Consider the following 22,685-nt stretch of genomic DNA (forward strand, 5'->3'; position numbering starts at 1 on the left):
TGCCAGCAATTTTTGGTGTTCCTTGACTTGTGCATGCATCACCCCACTGTCTGCCTCTGTCATTACATGGCCTTCTTCCTTATATTTCTTTATGTCTCTCTGTGTCCATATTTTCTTTCTTTATAAAGAAACCAGTCATTGAATTAGGGCCCATCCCATTTCAATATGACCCTGTTTCAAAATAACATCTGCAATAACCTATTTCCAAATAAGGTCACATTCACAAGTATTGGGATTAGTATTTCATTTTGGAGACCCGATTCAACACACAATGACTATAAACAATCAGAATGTTAGTTTATTAATTTATAACAAGAACTATGTTATATAAAATAAAATTCTTACTTCAGCATAAACAGTACATACTTTCCACCCAAACGCACATCTGTATGGGAAAACAAAATGTAGTCACATGATAGCTGGGTATGTATTAGATCAGAAAAATAAAGTTCAATGATTAGAATATTTAACACCATCAAGCTAATATAAATGTGCACATGCATTTATTTTTATTGTAGGAAGGCTTACCAACTTAACTGGCAATTTCACTTGCCCAGACTTCCTGCCTCAGGAATTGGACTTCCACTTAGGTGGAAAAGAGATTTATGCCTTAAAGATTCATCTGTAGCTCAGTTTCCATAGGCAACTAATTCTCCTTTCATTGACAGACTCTTTCTATAGCTATGTTAATAAATTCAGTTCCAACATAGTAAAATCCTCTGACTTTACCCCCCTTAGGTTAGTTTACAGTGCTTCAGAAGGCATTCTTTCTTCTCTTAGTTTTATATATTTATAAAGGGTTATATAAAACTAAGAGGGTTGTATTTTTGTAGCCATCTTTCTGATTATCCCCATGTACTGAGAATATGTGTGTGTGTGTATTGATACATTTTATTTAGATGTGTGTGTGTATATATATATATATATATATATATATGCAAGACTATATGTATATAGTCTTGTCCTATTTGGAGGCCCATTAAAGTATTTTTTCTTCCCATTCTTTTACTTCAACTATGATATACAATTAATTCTGTTATACACACACACATACACATACATATACACATACATATATATGTACGTGTGTGTATACATGTTTTAATAATCAAAGTTACAATTTATTTTGAACATATTATTTGCCAGAATTTATATGGCATACTTTGAATTCACTAACCTATTTAATCTTTAATATCTAAATGGGATAATTATTATTATTTATTTTTCAAAGATGGGGTAACAAAGGCTTCTGTTACCCCTCAATGTTGCCCATTCTCTACAGACTGTATAATAGAAGTTAAAATTATTTTTGCCCAACATCAAATATCTTGCATCATACTGCATTCCTTTCAGCAACCTGCATTTTTCAGCATCCTGCAATTTCCCTATAACCTGGAAATTTTGAACCTCCATGTCTTCGTGTGTAATATTTTCTGCATGAAAAATGTGTCATTTCAACTTATCTAACTTTTGCTTACTATCTAAGGTAAGGTAGAAGTGCCAACTTTTTCAAGGTTTTAGATAAAAGGTGAAAATAATAGTCTCTTGGTCCACACTCACATAGCCCTTTGTTTATATTAAACACTATATTATATTATGCTATATTAATAGTCAGCTGTTTATTCATCTCCTTCAGCAGACTCTAAAGGCCATTAGGGACTTGCTAATTCATTTACTAATTAATTAAAGAAATTTGAGGAGAATATCAAGAATAACCCTCTACTTGTTCCCGGCCACCATTCATCACTCACTTTCTTAATTGTTCATTCACAGTGTACATATACGGTGATGTCAGAAACGTTACACCATACTTCCATGAGAAACAACTTTATTAACTGGAGCACTGTGCTTGTATACACTTCCTTTCACCTTTAATTTTACAGTCTCCTCTCATTTCTGAAATTACTTATTTCAACGCATTTTTTCCCACCCATCTCAGTGAGGTTGTTTCATATATTTTCAATACAGTTATAATATTTTGTCACACTCTGCATTCCATCTTGCAATCCCTCTACTTCCTAAAGGATAGTTTTTTTTTAAAGTTATATAAATTAATGTTTCCTCCTCAAGCTCAAAAACTCTTACGGATTTTGAGAAATGCATAATGTTATGTCCACCATTACAATATCATATAAAATAGTTTCAGTACAGTAAAAAATTTGTTTTCATGTTTCACATATTTAACCCTACTTCCTCTCCCCTCACCTCTGGAAGCACTAATCTTTTATACTATATTGTTTTGCCTTTTCTACCATGTCATATATTTAGCAATATATAATACGAGGCATTTGCTGACCAATTTCTTTCACAGAGCAATAAATATTGAATATTCATGTATTTATTCCTGTAGATTTATATTTATTTCTTTTTTCTGGATGTACCAGTATATCAATTCACTTACTTAAGGTTTAAGACCATGTAGGTTGCTGTCCATTTTTTATAATTATAAAAAAGAGCTCTGATAAACACTCACATTTTTATGTGATATAAATTGTCACATCATTGGGATAAATACCTAGAAGAATGATAGCTGAAGTGCGTGGTGAGACGATATTTAGATTTGTAAGAAACTGCCAATCTGTCTTCCAGCGTGCAGTACCATTTTTAAAATTCCCTTCAGCAAACAGCTACTATTGCTCTACATTTTCACCAGAATTTGTAATACTTCGGTTCATGGATTTAAGCCATTTTAACTAATGTGTGGTAGTATCACAATTGTTTTAATTTGTGTTTCTCTAAAGAAAAAAAATACTGAGCATATTTTTATATGCCAGTTGCCATGGGTATTTCGGGGGCAGGGGTGAGGTGTCTTTTCAGATTCTATGCACATTTGTAATTGGCTTGTTTGCTTTCTTATTATTCAGTTTTCAGAGTTATTTGTATGTTTAGATACCAATACTTTATTAGATATATGGTTTACAGATATTTTCTTCTAGTTTGTGGCTTGTCTTTTAACTCTCTGGAGTCTTTCACAGAGCAGAAAATTCCATTTTAAATTTAACAAACTCTAACATCATTTTTTCTTTTATAGCTAGAACTTTTCGTATTAATATTATATCTAAAAATCCATTATCAAACCTAATGTCACTCATTACATGTAAAGCATACTTTCTTTTTCAACTATTCTAGTGGTTCCCCAGAGTATCCAATACACATTTGTTACTAATCTAAGATCACCTTCAAATAGCACTCCACCAGTTCACATATAGTGCAGGTACCTTAATAAGAAGTTACAGCGTGCTGGCAGCCCTTGCTCGCTCTCCGTGTCTCCTCGGCCTGGACGTCCACTCTGGCCGCGCTTGAGGAGCCCTTCGCCCCACCGCTGCACTGTGGGAGCCCGTCTGTGGGCTGGCCAAGGCCGGAGCATGCTCCCTCTGCTTGCGGGGAGGTGTGGAGGGAGAGGCACAGGCGGGAACTGAGGCTGCGCCGCACACGCGGGGGCGGCCCTGCACTCAGAGCGGTCAGGCTGGCGCCACAGACCCTGGGCAGTGAGGGGCTTAGCACCCAGGGCCAGCCGCTGCAGAGTATGCGCTGAGTTCCGCATCACTGCCAGCCCGCCCGCTCTAGGCTCGAATTCTTGCCAGGCCTCAGCCGCCTCGCTGTGTGGCAGGGCCCGGGACCTGCAGCCCACCATGCCCGAGCCTTTCCCCGCCCGCGCCTTCCCCCGTGGGCTCCCCAGCGGCCGGCGGGAGTCTCCCCAACGGCACTGCCCCCTGCTTTGTGGCGCCTGGTCCCATCAACCACCCAAGGGCTGACTAGTGCAGGCGCCTGGCGTGGGACTGGCGGGCAGCTCCCCCAGCGGCCCCAGCGCGGGATCTGCTAGGCAAGCCAGCTGGGCTCCCCAGTGAGGTGGGGTCTTGGAGAACTTTTGTGTCTAGCTGGAGGATTGTATATGCGCCAATCAGCACTCTGTGTCTAGCTCAAGGTTTGTAAACGCACCAATCAGCACCCTGTCAAAACAGGCCAATCAGCTCTCTGCAAAATGGACCAATCAGCAGGATGTGGGTGGGGTCAGGTGAGGGAATAAAAGCAGGCTGCCACAAGGGACAGTGATAACCCGCTTGGGTCCGTTTCCGTGGTGTGGAGGGTTTGTGTTTTTGCTGTTTGCAGTAAATCTTGCTGCACACTCTTTGGATCCACACTGCCTTTATGAGCTGTGACAACCACCGGGAAGGTCTGCAGCTTCACTCCTGAGGCCGGTGAGACCAGGAACCCACTGAGAGGAATGAATAACTCCAGACGTGCTGCCTTAAGAGCTGTAACACTCACTGCGAAGGTCTGCAGCTTCACTCCTGAAGCCAGCAAGACCACAAACCCACCAGAAGGAAGAAACTCCGAACACGTCCGAACATCAGAAAGAACAAATTCCGGACACACCATCTTTAAGAACTGTAACACTCACCACTAGGGTCTGCAGCTTCGTTCTTGAAGTCAGTGAGACCAAGAACCCACCAATTCTGGACACGTTAATAGAATAGTCCCAGTTCATCCTTCATATCTTTTGTAACATAACCATCAGGCATTTCACTTACCCACATGCTGTAATTGCCCAAAACATTTACTAATATTACTTTAAACAAACATGTAGTTTAAAAAGACTTACAATAAGAAAAATAAAACATTTTTTTTCCTTTTTCAACATACTTGCTTTCTTATTGTAAATACAGGTTTCTGATCTATATCACTCTTCTCCTCCTTGAATAACCTCTTTTAACACATTTGCAGGAAAGTTTTCTGGCAATATATTCTGTTAGTGTTTTATTGTCTGGTAAATTCTGATTTCCCCTCTGCTTTTGAAGTATAATTTTGCTAGATGTAGAATTCTAAGTTGGTGCATTTATTCCTTAACATTTCCCGCAACTCTCTTCTTTCTTGCCTGGTTTCTTACTGGAAGTGGGCTGAAATCCTTGCTCTTTTTTCTCTACAAGGAATGTAGTTTTCATTCCAGATTCTGTCAAGATTTTCTCTTTGTCTATTTATTGATTTATTTTATTTTCTTTTATTCTACATATAGGAAATGCTATGTCTGGTGCTGTATTTTTGTTGTTTGTCATGAATTGTATTCTCTGAGCTTCCTGGACCGGTTGTTTGTTTCATGTCATTATGCTTTAAAATTTCTTGACCATTACTCATTTAGATAGATTCTCCTCATTTCTCTCTTTCTCGTCTTTCTGCTATTCCAGTTTCCCATTTTGTACAACTTTAGAAACTGCCCAGCGGGTCCTTGATGTCCTTCACTTTTTTTTTTCCGTTTATTTTTTCTTGGCACTTTGTTTTAAAATGTATTTTTGACCTATCTTTAGTTTCACCAATTCTTTCCCCAAACATGTCTGGTCTACTAATGAAACCATTGAAAGCATTTTAAAAAAATCTATTGGCGTTATTTTAATTTCTAGCCTTTTATTTTGGTTCTTTGTTAGAATTTTCATCTCTCTGTTTATACTAATCATCTTTTATTGAATATTTTCTACATTTTCCACTAGCGTCCTTAACATCTTAATCATAGTTATGTAAATTTCTTGATTGCTATTTCCAAAATATGCATCATCATCACTGAGTCTTGTTCTGATGATCATCCTGTCTCTTCAGATTGTTAATTTTTTTCTTGCCTTTTACCATGTTTTGTAATTTTGTTGCCATTGTTGAGAGCCAGACATGTGGTATCCATAATAGATATTGAGATAAATTGATGCTGAGATAAATTGATACTGAGATAAAGTTAATTGAGGATATATGTTAATCTGTCTTGGAGTTGAACTGCATTTAATATTTGTTATAGCTCAAGTTTCTGAAGGTTTCAAATTCCTCTAGTGTCCTTGTTTTTGTCTCCTCCCTTAACTTTAGGTTTCCTTAAGTACTCATCTTCAAACAGTGTCTGTTTCTTATAGCTCTTTTGTCTGTCTCCTTATATTGGAGTCATGTTGGTTTAAATTTTATGGTATGAGCAGAGAAATATGTTCTATAGTGCTCTGATTGAATATCCGCCTTTCAGTGGGCCTATGTCTTAGGTTATGACTTTTACGAGTGTTTTGCCAGTAGTTTATCTTTTGTCCCTGTTACAGGACTGCCAGATTCATATGCCCACTGAGCAGCAATAGACCAATACACTGAGACATCATAATTTGCAGCAGAAAAAGAGTTTAATAATCACAATGCCATTGGGCAAAGAGATGAAGGAATCCTCAAGCTTCAAATCTGTCTGCTTGAGGGGTTCTGGACCAGGGTTTTTAAGGGGATTGTGGCGGGTGAGGTTCTGGAGAATTGGGGTTGTCAATTGCTCAGGTCAAGGAAGATTAAATCATCACGATGTGAAAACTGCATTCTTCTGTGAGTCGGCTCCTTGCTGGGACCTTCAGATCAACTGGCGTCAACAATTTTATCAGTATGCGTAACATAAAGGAGAAACTCAAACAGAAAGCGTATCATCTCATGTGCCTTAGATCTTATCTATAGAAAAGAAAAGGAACACATTCTTGTGACAAGGGCTACACTATCTTGGGGGAGTAAGAAGTAACTAGCTACAAGGAAGTAGGCCAAATTGGGAAGTGGATTTCATGATTGCCACTGATTATTCTGCAAGCCTAGTTGAATTTTATTTTCTCCCTTAATTGGTTTATAAACTTTTCTTTGGGACAGTTTCATCCTTTATCCCCTTTAGATGAGAAAAGAAGGTTAAATGAGGAGGTGCCAAGATGGCCAATTAGAAGCAGCTGTGGTCTGTGACTCCCATCTAGAAGAACAAAAATGGCGAGTGAATTCTGCACCTTCATCTGAGGTATCCGGATTCTCTCACTGGGAGTGACAAGGTGATTGGCCTGACCCACAGGGAGCAAGGAAAAGCAGGGTGGAGCAATGCCTCACTTGGGAGCTGCATGGGGCAAGGGGCACTCCCACCCCCAGTCAAGGGAGGCAGTGAGTGATTGTGCTCCCTTTCCTGAGGAACCATGCTTTTTCCATGGATCTGTGCAACTCACAGATCAAGAGATCCCCTTGTGAGCCCACACCACCAGGGCCTTGGGTGCCAAGCACAGAGCTGTGCAGACTCTCATCACCGCTCAGGCTGTGGCCAGTGACAGCAGACTGGAGACTGTCTAAGATGACTGAGTTCCCAGGGGAAGGGGTGGTTGCTATCACTGTGGCATCAGTTGGCTGTTTTCCCCTGGTGGTGCTGGGGAGACAGGGAGGTTTAGACCGGGAGCACAGCAGCTGTGGCAGATCATGGCCAGACTGCTTTTTTAGGTGGAACCTGGATCCATCCCTATTCATTGGGTGGGGCCCCCTTGTGGGAATTTCACCAACTCCAGCCAGAGGTTTATGGACAGAACTCTGATCTTCCTGGGCAGAACTCCTGTGGGGAGGGACAGCCACAGTCTCTGCGGTTCAGCAGACTTAGTCTTTCCTGCCTGCTGGCTCTGAAGGGTCTGGACATTCTGGACAAGGGAGATTCCCTCCAGTGCAGTGCACCCTCTCTGCCAAGGGGCAGCCAGAGTGCTTTGTTAAGTGGTCCCCGATCCTGTACATACTCCCTAACTGATTGAGACCACCAACAGGGGTCTCCAGGCACCTTATACAGGAGTGTTCCTGCTGGCATCACATCAGTGCCCCTCTGGGATGGAGTTCAAAAAAGAAGGAGCAGGCAGCCATCCTTGCTGTTCTGCAGCTTCCACTGGTGACACCTCCAGGTAGGGGAGGGACCAAGTGAATAGGGTCTGGAGTGGACCCCCAGCAAACTGCGGCAGCCCTAAGGAAGAGGGGTCTGACTGTTGAAAGGAAAACAAACAAACAGAAAACAACAACAACAAAAACATCCACAAAAATGGCCCCACAAAAACCCCTTCCAAAGATCAGCAGCCTCAAAGATCGAAGATAGATAAGCTCATGAAGATGAGAAAGAATCAATGCAAAAATGCTGAAAACTCAAAAAGCCAGAATGCCTCTTCTCCTCCAAATGATTGCAACACCTCTCCAGCAAGGGCACAGAACTGGGTGGAGGCTTGAGGTGGATGAACTGACAGAAGTATTCTTCAGAAGGTGGGTAATAACAAATTTTGCTGAGCTAAAGTATATTCTAAAACAATTCAAAGAAGCTAATAACCATGAAAACATTATAGGAACTGTAAACCAGAATAACCAGTTTATAGAGGAACATAAATGACCTGATGGACCTGAAAAACACAACACCAGAACTTCACAATGCAACCACAAGCATAAATAACTGAATAGACCAAGCAGAGGAAAGAATCTCAGAGCTCAAAGACTATCTTGCTGAAATAAGACAGGCAGATAAGATTAGAGAAAAAACTGAAAAGGAATGAAAAATAATCAGAGAACTATGGAATTATGTAAAAAGACCAAACCTACAACTGATTGGGGTACCTGAAAGAAATGAGGAGAATGAAACCAAGTTGGAAAACATACTTCAGGAAATCATTCAGGAGAATTCCCCAACCCAGCAAGACAGGCCAACATTCAAATTCAGGAAATTCAGAGGACTTCAGTAAGATCCATGAGAAGATCAACCCAAAACACATAATGGGCAGTATCTCCAAGGTCAAAATGAAGGAAAATTTTTAAGAGCCATGTCACCTAGAAAAGGAAGTCCATCAGAATAACAGTGGACTCCTCAGCAGAAACCCCATAAGCCAGAAGAAATTGGGGGCTAATATTCAACAGTCTTTTTTTTTTTATACTTTAAGTTTTAGGGTACATGTGTACATTGTTCAGGTTAGTTACATATGTATACATGTGCCATGCTGGTGCGCTGCACCCACTAACTCGTCATCTAGCATTAGGAATATCTCCCAATGCTATCCCTCCCCCCTCCCCCCACCCCACAACAGTCCCCAGAGTGTGATATTCCCCTTCCTGTGTCCATGTGATCTCATTGTTCAATTCCCACCTATGAGTGAGAATATGCGGTGTTTGGTTTTTTGTTCTTGCGATAGTTTACTGAGAATGATGATTTCCAATTTCATCCATGTCCCTACAAAGGACATGAACTCATCATTTTTTATGGCTGCATAGTATTCCATGGTGTATATGTGCCACATTTTCTGAATCCAGTCTATCGTTGTTGGACATTTGGGTTGGTTCCAAGTCTTTGCTATTGTGAATAATGCCGCAATAAACATATGTGTGCATGTGTCTTTATAGCAGCATGATTTATAGTCCTTTGGGTATATACCCAGTAATGGAATGGCTGGGTCAAATGGTATTTCCACTTCTAGATCCCTGAGGAATCGCCACACTGACTTCCACAATGGTTGAACTAGTTTACAGTCCCACCAACAGTGTAAAAGTGTTCCTATTTCTCCACATCCTCTCCAGCACCTGTTGTTTCCTGACTTTTTAATGATTGCCATTCTAACTGGTGTGAGATGGTATCTCATTGTGGTTTTGATTTGCATTTCTCTGATGGCCAGTGATGATGAGCATTTTTTCGTGTGTTTTTTGGCTGCATAAATGTCTTCTTTTGAGAAGTGTCTGTTCATGTCCTCCGCCCACTTTTTGATGGGGTTGTTTTTTTTTTCTTGTAAATTTGTTTGAGTTCATTGTAGATTCTGGATATTAGCCCTTTGTCAGATGAGTAGGTTGCGAAAATTTTCTCCCATTTTGTAGGTTGCCTGTTCACTCTGATGGTAGTTTCTTTTGCTGTGCAGAAGCTCTTTAGTTTAATTAGATCCCATTTGTCAATTTTGTCTTTTGTTGCCATTGCTTTAACTCATTTTATGAGGCCAGCATCATTCTGATACCAAAGCCAGGCAGAGACACAACAAAAAAAGAGAATTTTAGACCAATATCCTTGATGAACATTGATGCAAAAATCCTCAATAAAATACTGGCAAAACAAATCCAGCAGCACATCAAAAAGCTTATCCACCATGATCAAGTGGGCTTCATCCCTGGGATGCAAGGCTGGTTCAATATATGCAAATCAATAAATGTAATCCAGCATATAAACAGAGCCAAAGACAAAAACCACATGATTATCTCAATAGATGCAGAAAAAGCCTTTGACAAAATTCAACAACACTTCATGCTAAAAACTCTCAATAAATTAGGTATTGATGGGATGTATTTCAAAATAATAAGAGCTATCTGTGACAAACCCACAGCCAATATCATACTAAATGGGCAAAAACTGGAAGCATTCCCTTTGAAAACTGGCACAAGACAGGGATGCCCTCTCTCACCACTCCTATTCAACATAGTTTTGGAAGTTCTGGCCAGGGCAATTAGGCAGGAGAAGGAAATAAAGGGCCCATTGTCTCAGCCCAAAATCTCCTTAAGCTGATAAGCAACTTCAGCAAAGTCTCAGGATACAAAATCAATGTACAAAAATCACAAGCATTCTTATACACCAACAACAAACAAACAGAGAGCCAAATCATGAGTGAACTCCCATTCACAATTGCTTCAAAGAGAATAAAATATCTAGGAATCTAACTTACAAGGGATGTGAAGGACCTCTTCAAGGAGAACTACAAACCACTGCTCAAAGAAATAAAAGAGGATACAAACAAATGGAAGAACATTCCATGCTCATGGGTAGGAAGAATCAATATTGTGAAAATGGCCATACTGCCCAAGGTAATTTACACATTCAATGCCATCCCCATCAAGCTACCAATGACTTTCTTCACAGAATTGGAAAAAACTACTTTAAAGTTCATATGGAACCAAAAAAGAGCCCGCATTGCCAAGTCAATCCTAAGCCAAAAGAACAAAGCTGGAGGCATCACACTACCTGACTTCAAACTATACTAGAAGGCTACAGTAACCAAAACAGCATGGTACTGGTACCAAAACAGATATATAGATCAATGGAACAGAACAGAGCCCTCAGAAATAATGCCACATATCTACAACTATCTGATCTTTGACAAACCTGAGAAAAACAAGCAATGGGGAAAGGATTCCCTATTTAATAAATGGTGCTGGGAAAACTGGCTAGCCATATGTAGAAAGCTGAAACTGGATCCCTTCCTTACACCTTATACACAAATCAATTCAAGATGGATTAAAGAGTTAAACGTTAGACCTAAAACCATAAAAACCCTAGAAGAAAACCTAGGCATTACCATTCAGGACATAGGCATGGGCAAGGACTTCATGTCAACAGTCTTAAAGAAAAGAATTTCCAGCTCAGAATTTCATGTCTGGCCAAACTAAGCTTCATGAGCAAAGAAGAAATAAAATCCTTCTCAGACAAGCAAATACTGAGGGAATTCATCACAACCAAGCCTGCCTTGCAAGAGCTCCTAAAGGAAGCACTGAATATGGAAGGGAAAAACCATTACCGGCCACTACAAAAACACAGTAAAGTACACAGACCAATAATATTATGAAGCAACAACATTAACAAGTCTGCAAAATAACCAGATAGCATCATAATCACAGGACCAAATTCACACATAAGAATATTAACCTTAAATGTAAATGGACTGAATGTCCCAATTAAAAGACAAAGACTGGCAAACTGGATCGTCAAGACCCACCAGTGTGCTGTATTCAGGTGAACCATCTCATATGCAAAGACACACATAGGCTCAAAATAAAGAGATGGAGGAAAATTTACCAAGCAAACAGAAAGCAGGAAAAGGAGGGGTTGCAATTCTAGTGTTTGAGAAAACAGGCTTTAAATCAACAAAGATAAAAAAAGACAAAGAAGGGAATTACATAATGGTTAAGTATTCAGTTCATCAAGAAGAGGTAACTATCCTAAATACACATGCACCCAATTTTAGAAGACCCAGATTCATAAAACAAGTTCCTAGAGACCTACAAAGACATTTAGACTCTCACATAATAATAGTGGGAGACTTTAACACCCCACTGTCAATATTAGACAAATTATCAAGACAGAAAGTTAACAAGGATATTCAGGACTCAAACAGCTGTAGATCAAGTGGACCTGATAAGTATCTACAGAACTCTCCATTCAAAAACAACAGAATATACATTCATCTTGGAGCTACATGGCACTTACTCTAAAATCGATCACATAATTGGAAGTAAAACACTCCTCTGCAAATGCAAAATAACTAAAATCTTGATAGTCTCTCAGACCACAGTACAATCAAATTAGAACTCAAAATTAAGAAACTCACTCAAAACCACACAACTACATAGAAATGTAACATCCTGCTTCTGAATGACTACTGGGTAAAAAATGAAATTAAGGCAGAAGTCAAGAAGTTATTTAAAACTAATGAGAACAAAGAGACAATGTCCCAGAATCTCTGGGATACAGCTAAAACAGCATTGAGGGAAATGTATAGCACTAAATATCCACATGAGAAATATCTCAAGTCAACTTCCTAACATCACAGTTTAAAGAACTAGAGAACCAAGAACAAACAAACCCCAACGCTAGCAGAAGGCAAGAAATAAGTAAGATCAGAGCAAAACTAAAGGAGATTGAGACAGGAAAAACCCTTCAAAAAATCAACAAATCCAGGAACTGTTTTTTTGAAAAAAATTAACAAAATAGACTTTTAGCTACACTAATAAGAAAAGAGAGAAGATCAAATAGACACAATAAAAAATGATAAAGGGGATATGAACACTGAGTTTACAGAAATACAAACAACCATCAGAGAATACTATAAACACCTCTATGCAAATAAATTAGAAAATCTAGAAGAAATGGATAAATTCCTGGACACATAAACTCCCAAGATTGAACCAGGAAGAAGTTGAATCCCTGAATAGACCAATAACAAGTTCTGAAATTAAGGCAGTAATATATAGCCTACCAACCAATGAAAGACCAGGACCAAATGGAATTATGGTGGAATTCTACCAGATGTACAAAGAGGAGCCAGTGCTATTTCCTCTGAAACTATTCCAAATGATTGAAGAGGAGAGACTCCTCCCTAATTCATGTTATGAGGCCAGCATCATCCTGATACCAAAGCCTGGGAGAGATACAACAAAACAAGACAACTTCAGGCCAATATCCCTGATGAACATTGATGCAAAAATCCTCAATAAAATACTGGCAAGCCAAATCCAGCAGCACATCCAAAAGCTTACCCACCACAATCAAGTTGGCTTCATCCCCGGGATACAAGGCTGTTTCAACATATGCAAATCAATAAATGTAATCCATTACATAAACAGAACTAAAGATAAAAACCTCATAATTATCTCAATAGATGCAGAAAAGGCCTTTCAACAACACTTCATGTTAAAATTCAACATCCCTTCATTTTAAAAACTCTCAATAAACTAGGTATTGAAGGACCATACCTCAAAATATTAAGAGCCATTTATGACAAACTAACAACCCATATCATACTGAATGGGAAAAAGCTGCGAGCATTTTCATTGAAAAGAGGCACATGACAAGGATGCTCTTTCTTACCACTCCTATTCAACATATTATTGGAAGTTCTGGCTAGAACAATTAAGCAAGAGAAAGAAACAAATGGTTTTCAAATAGGAAGAGAGGAAGCCAAATTGTCTCTGCAGATGACATGATCCTTTATCTAGAAAACCCCATTGTCTCAACCCCATTGTCAGCAAAATCTCAGGATAAAAAAATCAATGTGTGAAAATCACAAGGATTCCTACACACTAACAACAGACAAGCAGAGAGCCAAATCATGAAAGAACTCCAATTCCACAATTGTTACAGAGAATAAAATACCTAGGAATACAGCTAAGAAGGGAAGTGATAGAAAGAATCAATATGATTAAAATGGCCATACTACCCAAAGTAATTTATAGATTCAATGCTATTCCCCTTATACTAACATTGACATTTTTCACAGAATTAGAATAATCTGTTTTAAAATTCATATGGACAAAAAAGAGCCTGTAGAGCCAAGATAATATTAAGCAAAAATAGCAAAGCTGGGGGGATCATGCTACCTTACTTCAAACTACACTACAAGGCTACCAAACCAGCATGTAAACAAAACAGCATAGTGGTGGTGCAAAAACAGACTCATAGACCAATAGAACAGAATTGAGAACTCAGAAATAAGACCACACAGCTACAACCATCTGATCTTCAACAAACCTGACAAACACAAGTAATGGGGAAAGGATTTTCTATTTAATTAATGGTGCTGGAAGAACTATGGAAGAACTTTAGCCATATGCAGAAAATTGAAACTGGACCCCCTTCCTTACACGTTATACAAAAATTAGCTCAAGATAGGTTAAAGACTTAAGTGTAAAATCCAAAACTATAAAAACCCTAGAAGAAAATGTAGGCAATACCATTCAGGACATAGGCATAGGCAAAGATTTCATGACAAAAATGCCAAAAACAATAGCAACAAAAGCAGAAATTAACAAATGGGGTCTAATTAAACTAAAGAGCTTCTGCTCAGCAAAAGAAACTATCATCACAGTGAACAGACAACCTACAGAATGGGAGAAAAATTTGCTATTTATCCATCCGACAAAGGTCTAATATCCAGAATTTACAGGGAACTTAAACAAATTTACAAGAAAAAAACAGACAATCCTATTAAACAGTGGGCAAAGGACACGAACAGGCACTTCTCAAAAGAAGACATTTATGTGGCCAACAAACATGCAAAAAAAAAGTTCAACATCACTAATCATTAGAGAAATGCAAATCAAAACCACAATGAGATACCATCTCACACTAGTCAGAATGGTGATTATTAAAAAGTCAAGAAACAACTGATACTGTTGAGGCTGCAGAGAAATAGGAATGCTTTTACACTGTTGGTAGGAATGTAAATTAGTTCAACCATTGTGGAAGACTGTGGCAATTCCTCGAAGTCCTAGAACCAGAAATACCATTTGACCCAGCAATCCCATTACTAGGTATGTACCCAAAGGAATATAAATCATTTTATTATAAAGATACATGCATGTGTGTGTTCATTGCAGCACTATTCACAATAGCTAATACATGAAATCAACCCAAATGCCCATCAATGATAGACTGGGCAAATAAAATGTGGTACATATACAACATGGAATACTATGCAGCCATAAAAGGAAATGAGATCAAGTCCTTTGCAGGGACATGGATGGAGCTGAAAGCCATTATCCTCAGCAAACTAATGCAGGAACAGAAAACCTTGAAATATGAGCTATAATGAGGGGCACTAGAGGTACTTGGCTTTAAAAAGACATAGGTGCAGTGACATGATGTTAGTTACATAGCCTTTGAAGTCATGTTGTGTGAAAGAGCAGTTGGATATTGACGTTGGCTACCAAAACCAATGGGTAGGCATTTAGATTTTGGTTCACTAGAAAACCTGAACTATCTATCGATTAAGCTCTCAAAAACTAAATAGACTGCTGCCTCCTAAATAAAATATGTCTCCCACTGTGGAAATGTCATTGATTTTCAATTTGTATAGCTTTTATTATTATTATTATTGTAAGGCCAGGAATGACAACTTCTGAGCCCTTCACATGTTGGTGATAAATCCAAAAGTCCTGTAATGTATTTGTTTTCTCATTTTTTAAAACCAAATATTTGAAGCTATTTTATTAAGGGTTTCCTTTTCCTCAAAAAGTAAATGCATTAAATATAATCTAGATAGTCTACACTCATGAGAAAGATATTTCATTGTATATAACCAGAGCTATAGGCCTACAAACATTTGGACTTTATCAGAGGTAAATAATAAGAGATAATACTATTCGTTAAAATTAAAGTATAAATTTAGATCATTATTTTTAATTGGTTATTTTTTAAAGCTGACATAACTTTAATTTACAATGTAAACTCAGGAGTGAAAGAGCATTAAGTAACTCATGATCTGTAAAGAAAATTTCAAAATTTAAGGTAAGTAATGAGATTTCCCCATATTTCTGTGTTTAATTCATCAATGTTTTTAAAATACTTAAACCAGCTAAGAAGTGTGTTCAGGTTTCTATTTATTTTAAAAGTGACTTACGTATTTTTCTCACAAGGGAGGATGATTGTAGAGGAGATTAGAGCCTGCATCGTGGTTCCAAGTTAGCATCACTGTTCCTGGTCCTTCCATCTTTCTGCTTAGTCATATTTAACTTGTGTTTATTTCTTCATGATCAGAATATGTGTCTTTCTCAACTATCATATGTATGTTCTAGGTAGAAAGGAGAAAAACAAGAATTTATGTTGTTCTGTCAAATTATAGAAAGTTTATTTGATAATAAATCAACTGTTAAAAAGTACCCCTTAAAAGTATAGTAAGTATACAATATTAAAAGAAAGCATGGGACTTTGCAAAATTGTGAAATCTATTGAGAATTTTGTAAGTTTTTAAATTTTGATCTGTGCTGTCATTTATTAATTCAGTCAAAATTTGCTTCAAAAACACATAGTTGTCAGAATATGTAAGTGCCTTAGAAGAGTGCAATCTATAAGTAAAATAATTCTGAATATTCATCTGAAATAGTTTGAAAAGGTTTTGAAAATCTACTGTCTCTCTTATTTCTTGTAATCAACATATTTCTCAATAGGAAAATTCACCATTTGCCATCAAAATGTATTGTCTGAAACTTCCACTGGAACCTTCATATGGCAAAATATTTAGGCATTCTGAGGAGATGCAAAGTTTGTTAAGCAGAATAAATGTGTTTTAATATTTAATAATTATAAATGATATTTGGAAAATTATAAAGATGTTCTTAGTTCAATTAATAGAGTAAGATTTATATATCTATTAAGAGTGCTGGGCCAGACAGGGTGGCTCACGCCTATAACCCCAGCACTTTGGAAGCCCGAGGCGGGAGGATCACCTGAGGTCAGGAGTTTGAGACCAGCCTGGCCAACATGGTGAAACCCCATCTCTACTAAAAATACAAAAATTAGCAGGGCATGGTGGTGCTTGCCTGTAATCCCAGCTACTGAGGAGGCTAAGGCAGGAGAATTGCTTAAACTCGGGACATTTCAATGAGCTGAGATCTAGCCACTGCATTCCAGCCTGGGCAACACAGTGAAACTCCGTCTCAAAACAAAACAAAAAAAAACAAAAGTGCAGACAACACATTATAATCAATATTAAAAGTTTTTATGTTGAAAGATGGATAAGAATTAAAACTTTGATTTTTCAACTGAGATATTTAGTTGAGATATTTGAAATTACTGGAAAGCAAAAGGAAATTTTAATGTACTGCGGAGTAGCCTAGGGTAGTATGTGTATGTATTTCTACTAAATGCAAAAGAAAGTACCAGATAAAAATGCAATAGGCTTCTACTTCTAGTTCAGGATGGGAAAAGATGGGGAAGACCAAAAAAGATCTGCATAATGCACAAATCCATGTGATTTCTGAAGGGAGTGGACACGATCAGTCTTGATAAACTGATAACTAGTTAGTGGATCTGCAGGTTTCATCTGTGGTATTTTCTTTTAGATGATTTGTGTAGTGACTAAAAAACAGTCAATACATTTAAATAAACTGCACATTGTGCACATGTACTCTAAAACTTAAAGTATAATAAAAAAATAATACAATAAATAAATAAACTTATTTTCTGGTTTAGTAATTGAGGTTGGCCAATGTCTATTATTAATTGTTAACTATTTCCTAATCAATAATCTGTCTTATATTAAACTGTACATACACTTTACAAGAAATTTGAGTTACACTCACACATAACTGAATAACATATTTAATGCTTATATAGGCATGCATATAATGTTAAAATCTAGATATAAAAATAAGAAAATGAAACCATAATTTTTAAGTAATGGAACATGTTCCAAAAGATCAAATGTGGTTATGCATTGGTATGACAATTCTGAATCCTGCCCTCAGGCAGCATCTGAACACTGTTTTATTAGCTATCAATAAATTGTCTGCACTGCAGGCCGATGATGGTTTAAGGACAGCAGTGTTAATAATAATGTTCAAAGTGTCAGTCTGGAGGGGAGGCAATAATTGACTGTATGAGACTATTAAGCTATAAAAACAATGTTTTATTTTGAGCATCAAAATATGATAGACAGAGCTTCAAATGCTCTTGGTGAAGTCATTATTAACACATACAAAACTGATTTTCATTCAACATTTACTGTAGAGAAAATTATATTCCATCAGGCTTTAAAATTGAGAAGAAAACAGAAAGAGTAAGTCTTAAATTCCTTTCTTCCTCACCTTCCTCCTTCACCTAGTTTGCCTGCGGACCTACACTGTTACATTCCCACATACCTCCTGTGTGTATTTCTTTGCAGATCATTTACCTTACATTTCTACATTTCCCCTTAATTTTTTCCTCATCAATAGATGAGAAAAAAAATTTGTTAAATCATGGTAGATGAATATGGACCAGATCATCCCATGAACTACGTTCAATCATTGGTTTTACCTTTCAAAAAATTCTGAATGAAATATGTAATAATTTAATATTCTAAAACTTTATTTTTTCAGGAATATTTACATATATTCACCCTTCCTTCTAAAACAGTGGCCAGAGCAGTTAGAAAACAAAAGCATGAGAAACAGTAACTCTTACAGTTGTATTATGCCTGTATGCCTCCCCAGTTCTGCAAAGATTATGAGGATTTTTTTAGGTCTGTACATAGTTTTAAAATATCCTAAAACAATCCACATAAATAAACTCATTACCATAATAATCTGCAAGATAGACATTGTCATCCTCAAGTAATATCAAATAAATCTTATTTGCCTGCAAGATCTGAATCTGAAAATCCCAAAGCTCAAGTTTACCTAGCTAATAGGTAGTAAGACTGGGGCCTCAATCTGGTTTATCTAATTCTGAAAAGTGTTTTGCTATAAAAGCACTATAGGAAATAAAACATTAGACTTTATACCTTTAGATAATAAGAATATTTATGTCATTGAACCTGAAAAGATACTGTTTAACTTTCATGTTCTACTTGTCATTTTTCTTTTCTGCTTTTATATGTAATTTAGGTAATAGATACCCAGGAATCAACTTAAATTCCCATCAGTGGTAGACTGGAAAAAGAAAGTACGGTACATATACACCATGAATTACTATGCAGCCATAAAAAAGAATGAGATCTGTCCTTTGCGGCAACATGGATGGAGCTTGGAGGCCATTATCCTTAGCAAAGTAACACAGGATCAGAAAACCCAATACTCCCTATTTTCACTTATCACTGGGAGCTAAATAATGAGAACACATTGACAGAAAGAGCAGCACAATAGACACTAGGGTGTGCTTGAGGGAGGAGGATGAGAGATGGGTGAGGTTCAGGGAAAAAAAAATTGTTGGGTACTATGCTTACTACTCAGGTGACAAAATAATCTGTACATCAAACCCCTGAGTCACGAATTTACCTAAAGAACAAACCTCCACACGTTCCCATGAACCTAAAATAAAAGTTAAAATATTTAAAATAATAATAATAATTTAAAAATGTGAAATGTTGTGATAATTACTAAAATGTCAAATAGAGACACAAGGTGAGCACGTTGTTGGAAAAATAGAATGAATAGACTTGCTTGATGCAAGATTGCCACAAACCTTCAATTTGTGAAAAATGTGTTATTTGTGAAGAGCTATAAAGTGAAGCACACGCAAAAAAAGTGAGTTTGATTAATGCAATTCATTGTTGCTGAAAGATACCTTGAAATATGAGCTATAATGAGGGGCACTAGAGGTACTTGGCTTTAAAAAGACATAGGTGCAGTGGCATGATGTTAGTTACATAGCCTTTGAAGCCATGTTGTGTGAAAGAGCAGTTGGATATTGACGTTGGCTACGAAAATCAATGGGTAGGCATTTAGATTTTGGTTCAGTAGAAAATCTGAACTATCTATCGATTAAGCTCTCAAAAACTAAATAGACTGCTGCCTCCTAAATAAAATATGTCTCCCACCATGGAAATGTCAAGCTAGGGTCACAATTCAAGTAATGTATATATGGATCTAATGACTTCCAAGATGCTTTTCCAACTTAAAGTTTTAGACAAGTACCTTTTAAAACAGTATACCATTTGAATTACCTGCAACCATTTTAATATTTCTGAGAGGGTTTTTTTTGTGTGTGCTCCTTCTGTCATCACATGGAGAGTTATTTTGCCTTTTAGGGTAAAATATAAAAACAAATGCACGTCACAATATGATGTGGCAAACGTTACCCAGAAGCCTTAGTGATGTTGTTGCGATGGTATTAGCATGCACAGAGTATGCAACTCGCAGCTCTGCTGTGTGCACTTGTTCTTTTGCTTTCTCTCATGTGTTCTGCTCCATATATTTTAAGAGAGTTTAATGTGGGTGTTCCAATTCTATCCCATTAGAGTACTATGTATATTATTGTTACTAAACCTTGCCTTCATAATCATTCCTATGTATGTGGTCTATTGAAAAGCAATCATTTATATCTTTAGGAGGATGAATGGGAAGTCACAGATCTAGAACAATAATCAACTTGAACTCATGCTGCTAGCACAGGTATGGATTTTTAATATAATCTCAGGCAGGGAAGTGCTTGTAGGCATGTTTTCTCAGTCAGGAGCTGAGAGCATATGCACGATGGCAGACACAAGGTAACTACCCTTTGGCTGGTTGAAAGATGAAGTCATTATAAAGCTGGATTTTAAACCAAATGCAGTGCTGGCTGCTGTCTGGACTTACCTAAAACATACACTATATTTTAAAAAGAAGGCTGAGAGTCACAGAAGTAAAACAAATAAATTCCAAAGTTGGTGTTTTATATTATCATTTATCTGCAATAAGTGATAATTGATATTCCAAAAATATACTTTGCTTTGAATTCAAATTGTTTATTTTGAACAATTAGTGAGTTCATCTCTGCACATGCCTAAAGAAGATAAATCAATAAATAAAAGAATAAAAATTAAAACTCTATATAATAAACACTTGATTTCTTAGTCCTGATTTCTCTTTTATTATGAAGACCAGAAGCAGAATGTTATTCTATTTTACCTAAAAATATATATATGATCTTTAGAAACTCCTTGTCAGCAATCATCTATCTGTGTGTGGGTGTATATATATATATATATATATATATACACATATATATATATCTCATACAAACAATATGTATCACATTTATATGTTATCAAGCACAATCATATAATAAACCCACAAATGTCCAACTCCAAAACTAGAAAATTATTAATAGCTTGTACTACTCCTGTGTTCTTCCCCATCTGCCTGTAGGAATTATTTCTTTTTCTAAAATAGTTTTCTTACATACATATATATATCAAATAATGTGTTTTTGCTTATTTTTCAGCTACAAGATTGTGTCACACTGTATATAGTCTACCGTATTACTTTTTTTTTTTTTTTTTGAGAGGCAGTCTCACTCTGTCACCCAGGCTGGAGTGCAGTGGCACAATCTCCATTCACTGCAACCTCCGCCTCCCGGGTTCAAGGGATTCTCTCCTGCCTCAGCCTTTTGAGCAGCTGGGATTACAGGTGCCCAACTACACCAGGCTTTTTTTTTTTTTGAGACCGAATCTCGCTCTGTCGCCAGGCTGGAATGCAGTGATGTGATCTTGGCTCACTGCAACCTCCGCCTCCCAGGTTTAAGCAGTTCTCCCACCTCAACCTCCCGAGTAGCTGGGACTACAGGTGTGTGCCATAACACCCGGCTAATTTTTGTATTTTTAGTAGAGACAGGGTTTCACCATGTTGGCCAGGATGGTCTTGATCTCTTGACCTCGTGATCCACCCACCTTGGCCTCCCAAAGTGCTGGGATTACAGGTGTGAACCACCACACCCAGCTACTGTATTACTTTTTATGCTTCCAGAATTTTTCTGTGTTGTTGCAGGTGTCTGTTGTGCCTTAATTTTTGCTATTGTAGAGGATTCTATTATGTGCAATTGCGCAGCAGTGTATGTATCTGTTCCCCTGTGGATGGACATTTGGGTTGTGTCCAGTGTCTCTTGACCACCTACCTTGTGCCATGCCCCCGACCCTCCTGCCATTACTCCACAATCTAGCTACATCCACAAAGCCATGACTTCACAAAACCCTGTCTTCCACTTCTGAGCTCCAGACCATATAAAAGGCGTAATGGTGTTTATTGAGCACTTACTCTGAGCTAGAAACGATTCTCAACATTTTACATGTGGTAGCGCATTTAATATTCACAGCAACACAAATGGGAAGTAATATTCTTATCACCGTTTTACAAATGAGAAGACCAAGGCCCAGAAGAGTTGAATATCTTGCTCAAGATCACACACCTTTTGCCACCCCCCATTCCAAGTCCCATAGGCAACTCAGACTCAGCACATCCATGATGTAACTTATCATCTTCCTCTCCAAACCATTTCCTCACTTGTGCCCTACTCTCAGTGGGGACATCTCCAATCCCCGGGCCCAAGCTGGAAACCGGAAGCCATTTCTGACTCCTCCCTCACCCACTCCATCCAAATGGAGCCCAAGTCCTGTACATTGTACTTCTCGGGTATTGATCAATCCCGGCCCTTGTCTCCACGCCCATGGTGCTGACCCATTGTTAGGTGCCCGGCTGCTGCTCCTGGGTCATCACTTCCCAGCACTCTCTTCGCAGGCCCATCTCCACCATTTCCAGCATCCTACACACTGCGGCTCAGGTGTGCTTTCTAAACCTCACCTCACCATGTCCCCACCTCCAGAATGAAGCCCAGCCTCCTCTGCCCATCCCCTCAAACTGTAAAGTGCAGATCCCAGCCCCAAAAAGGACACCCCCCACCACAATACCCTGCTCTGTCTCCTCCTCTGGGAAACCTCCTGGCCTTGGCCCAG

General features: G+C 38.0%; 1 long non-coding RNA gene across 1 annotated transcript; it reads right to left on the reverse strand.

Moving 5' to 3' along the window:
- Positions 1-6,118: 6,118 nt before the first annotated feature.
- LOC105379257 (uncharacterized) lies at positions 6,119-20,580 on the reverse strand. The gene is made up of 3 exons (XR_949011.1): positions 20,554-20,580; positions 15,900-16,070; positions 6,119-6,447 (listed from the first exon to the last, which is right to left on the reverse strand). It is a non-coding gene; the product is annotated as an uncharacterized LOC105379257 (long non-coding RNA).
- Between the last annotated feature and the right edge of the window lie 2,105 nt (positions 20,581-22,685).

The sequence above is a fragment of the Homo sapiens genome, chromosome 9, assembly GCF_000001405.40.
Source record: "Homo sapiens chromosome 9, GRCh38.p14 Primary Assembly".
Lineage (NCBI taxonomy): Eukaryota > Metazoa > Chordata > Mammalia > Primates > Hominidae > Homo > Homo sapiens.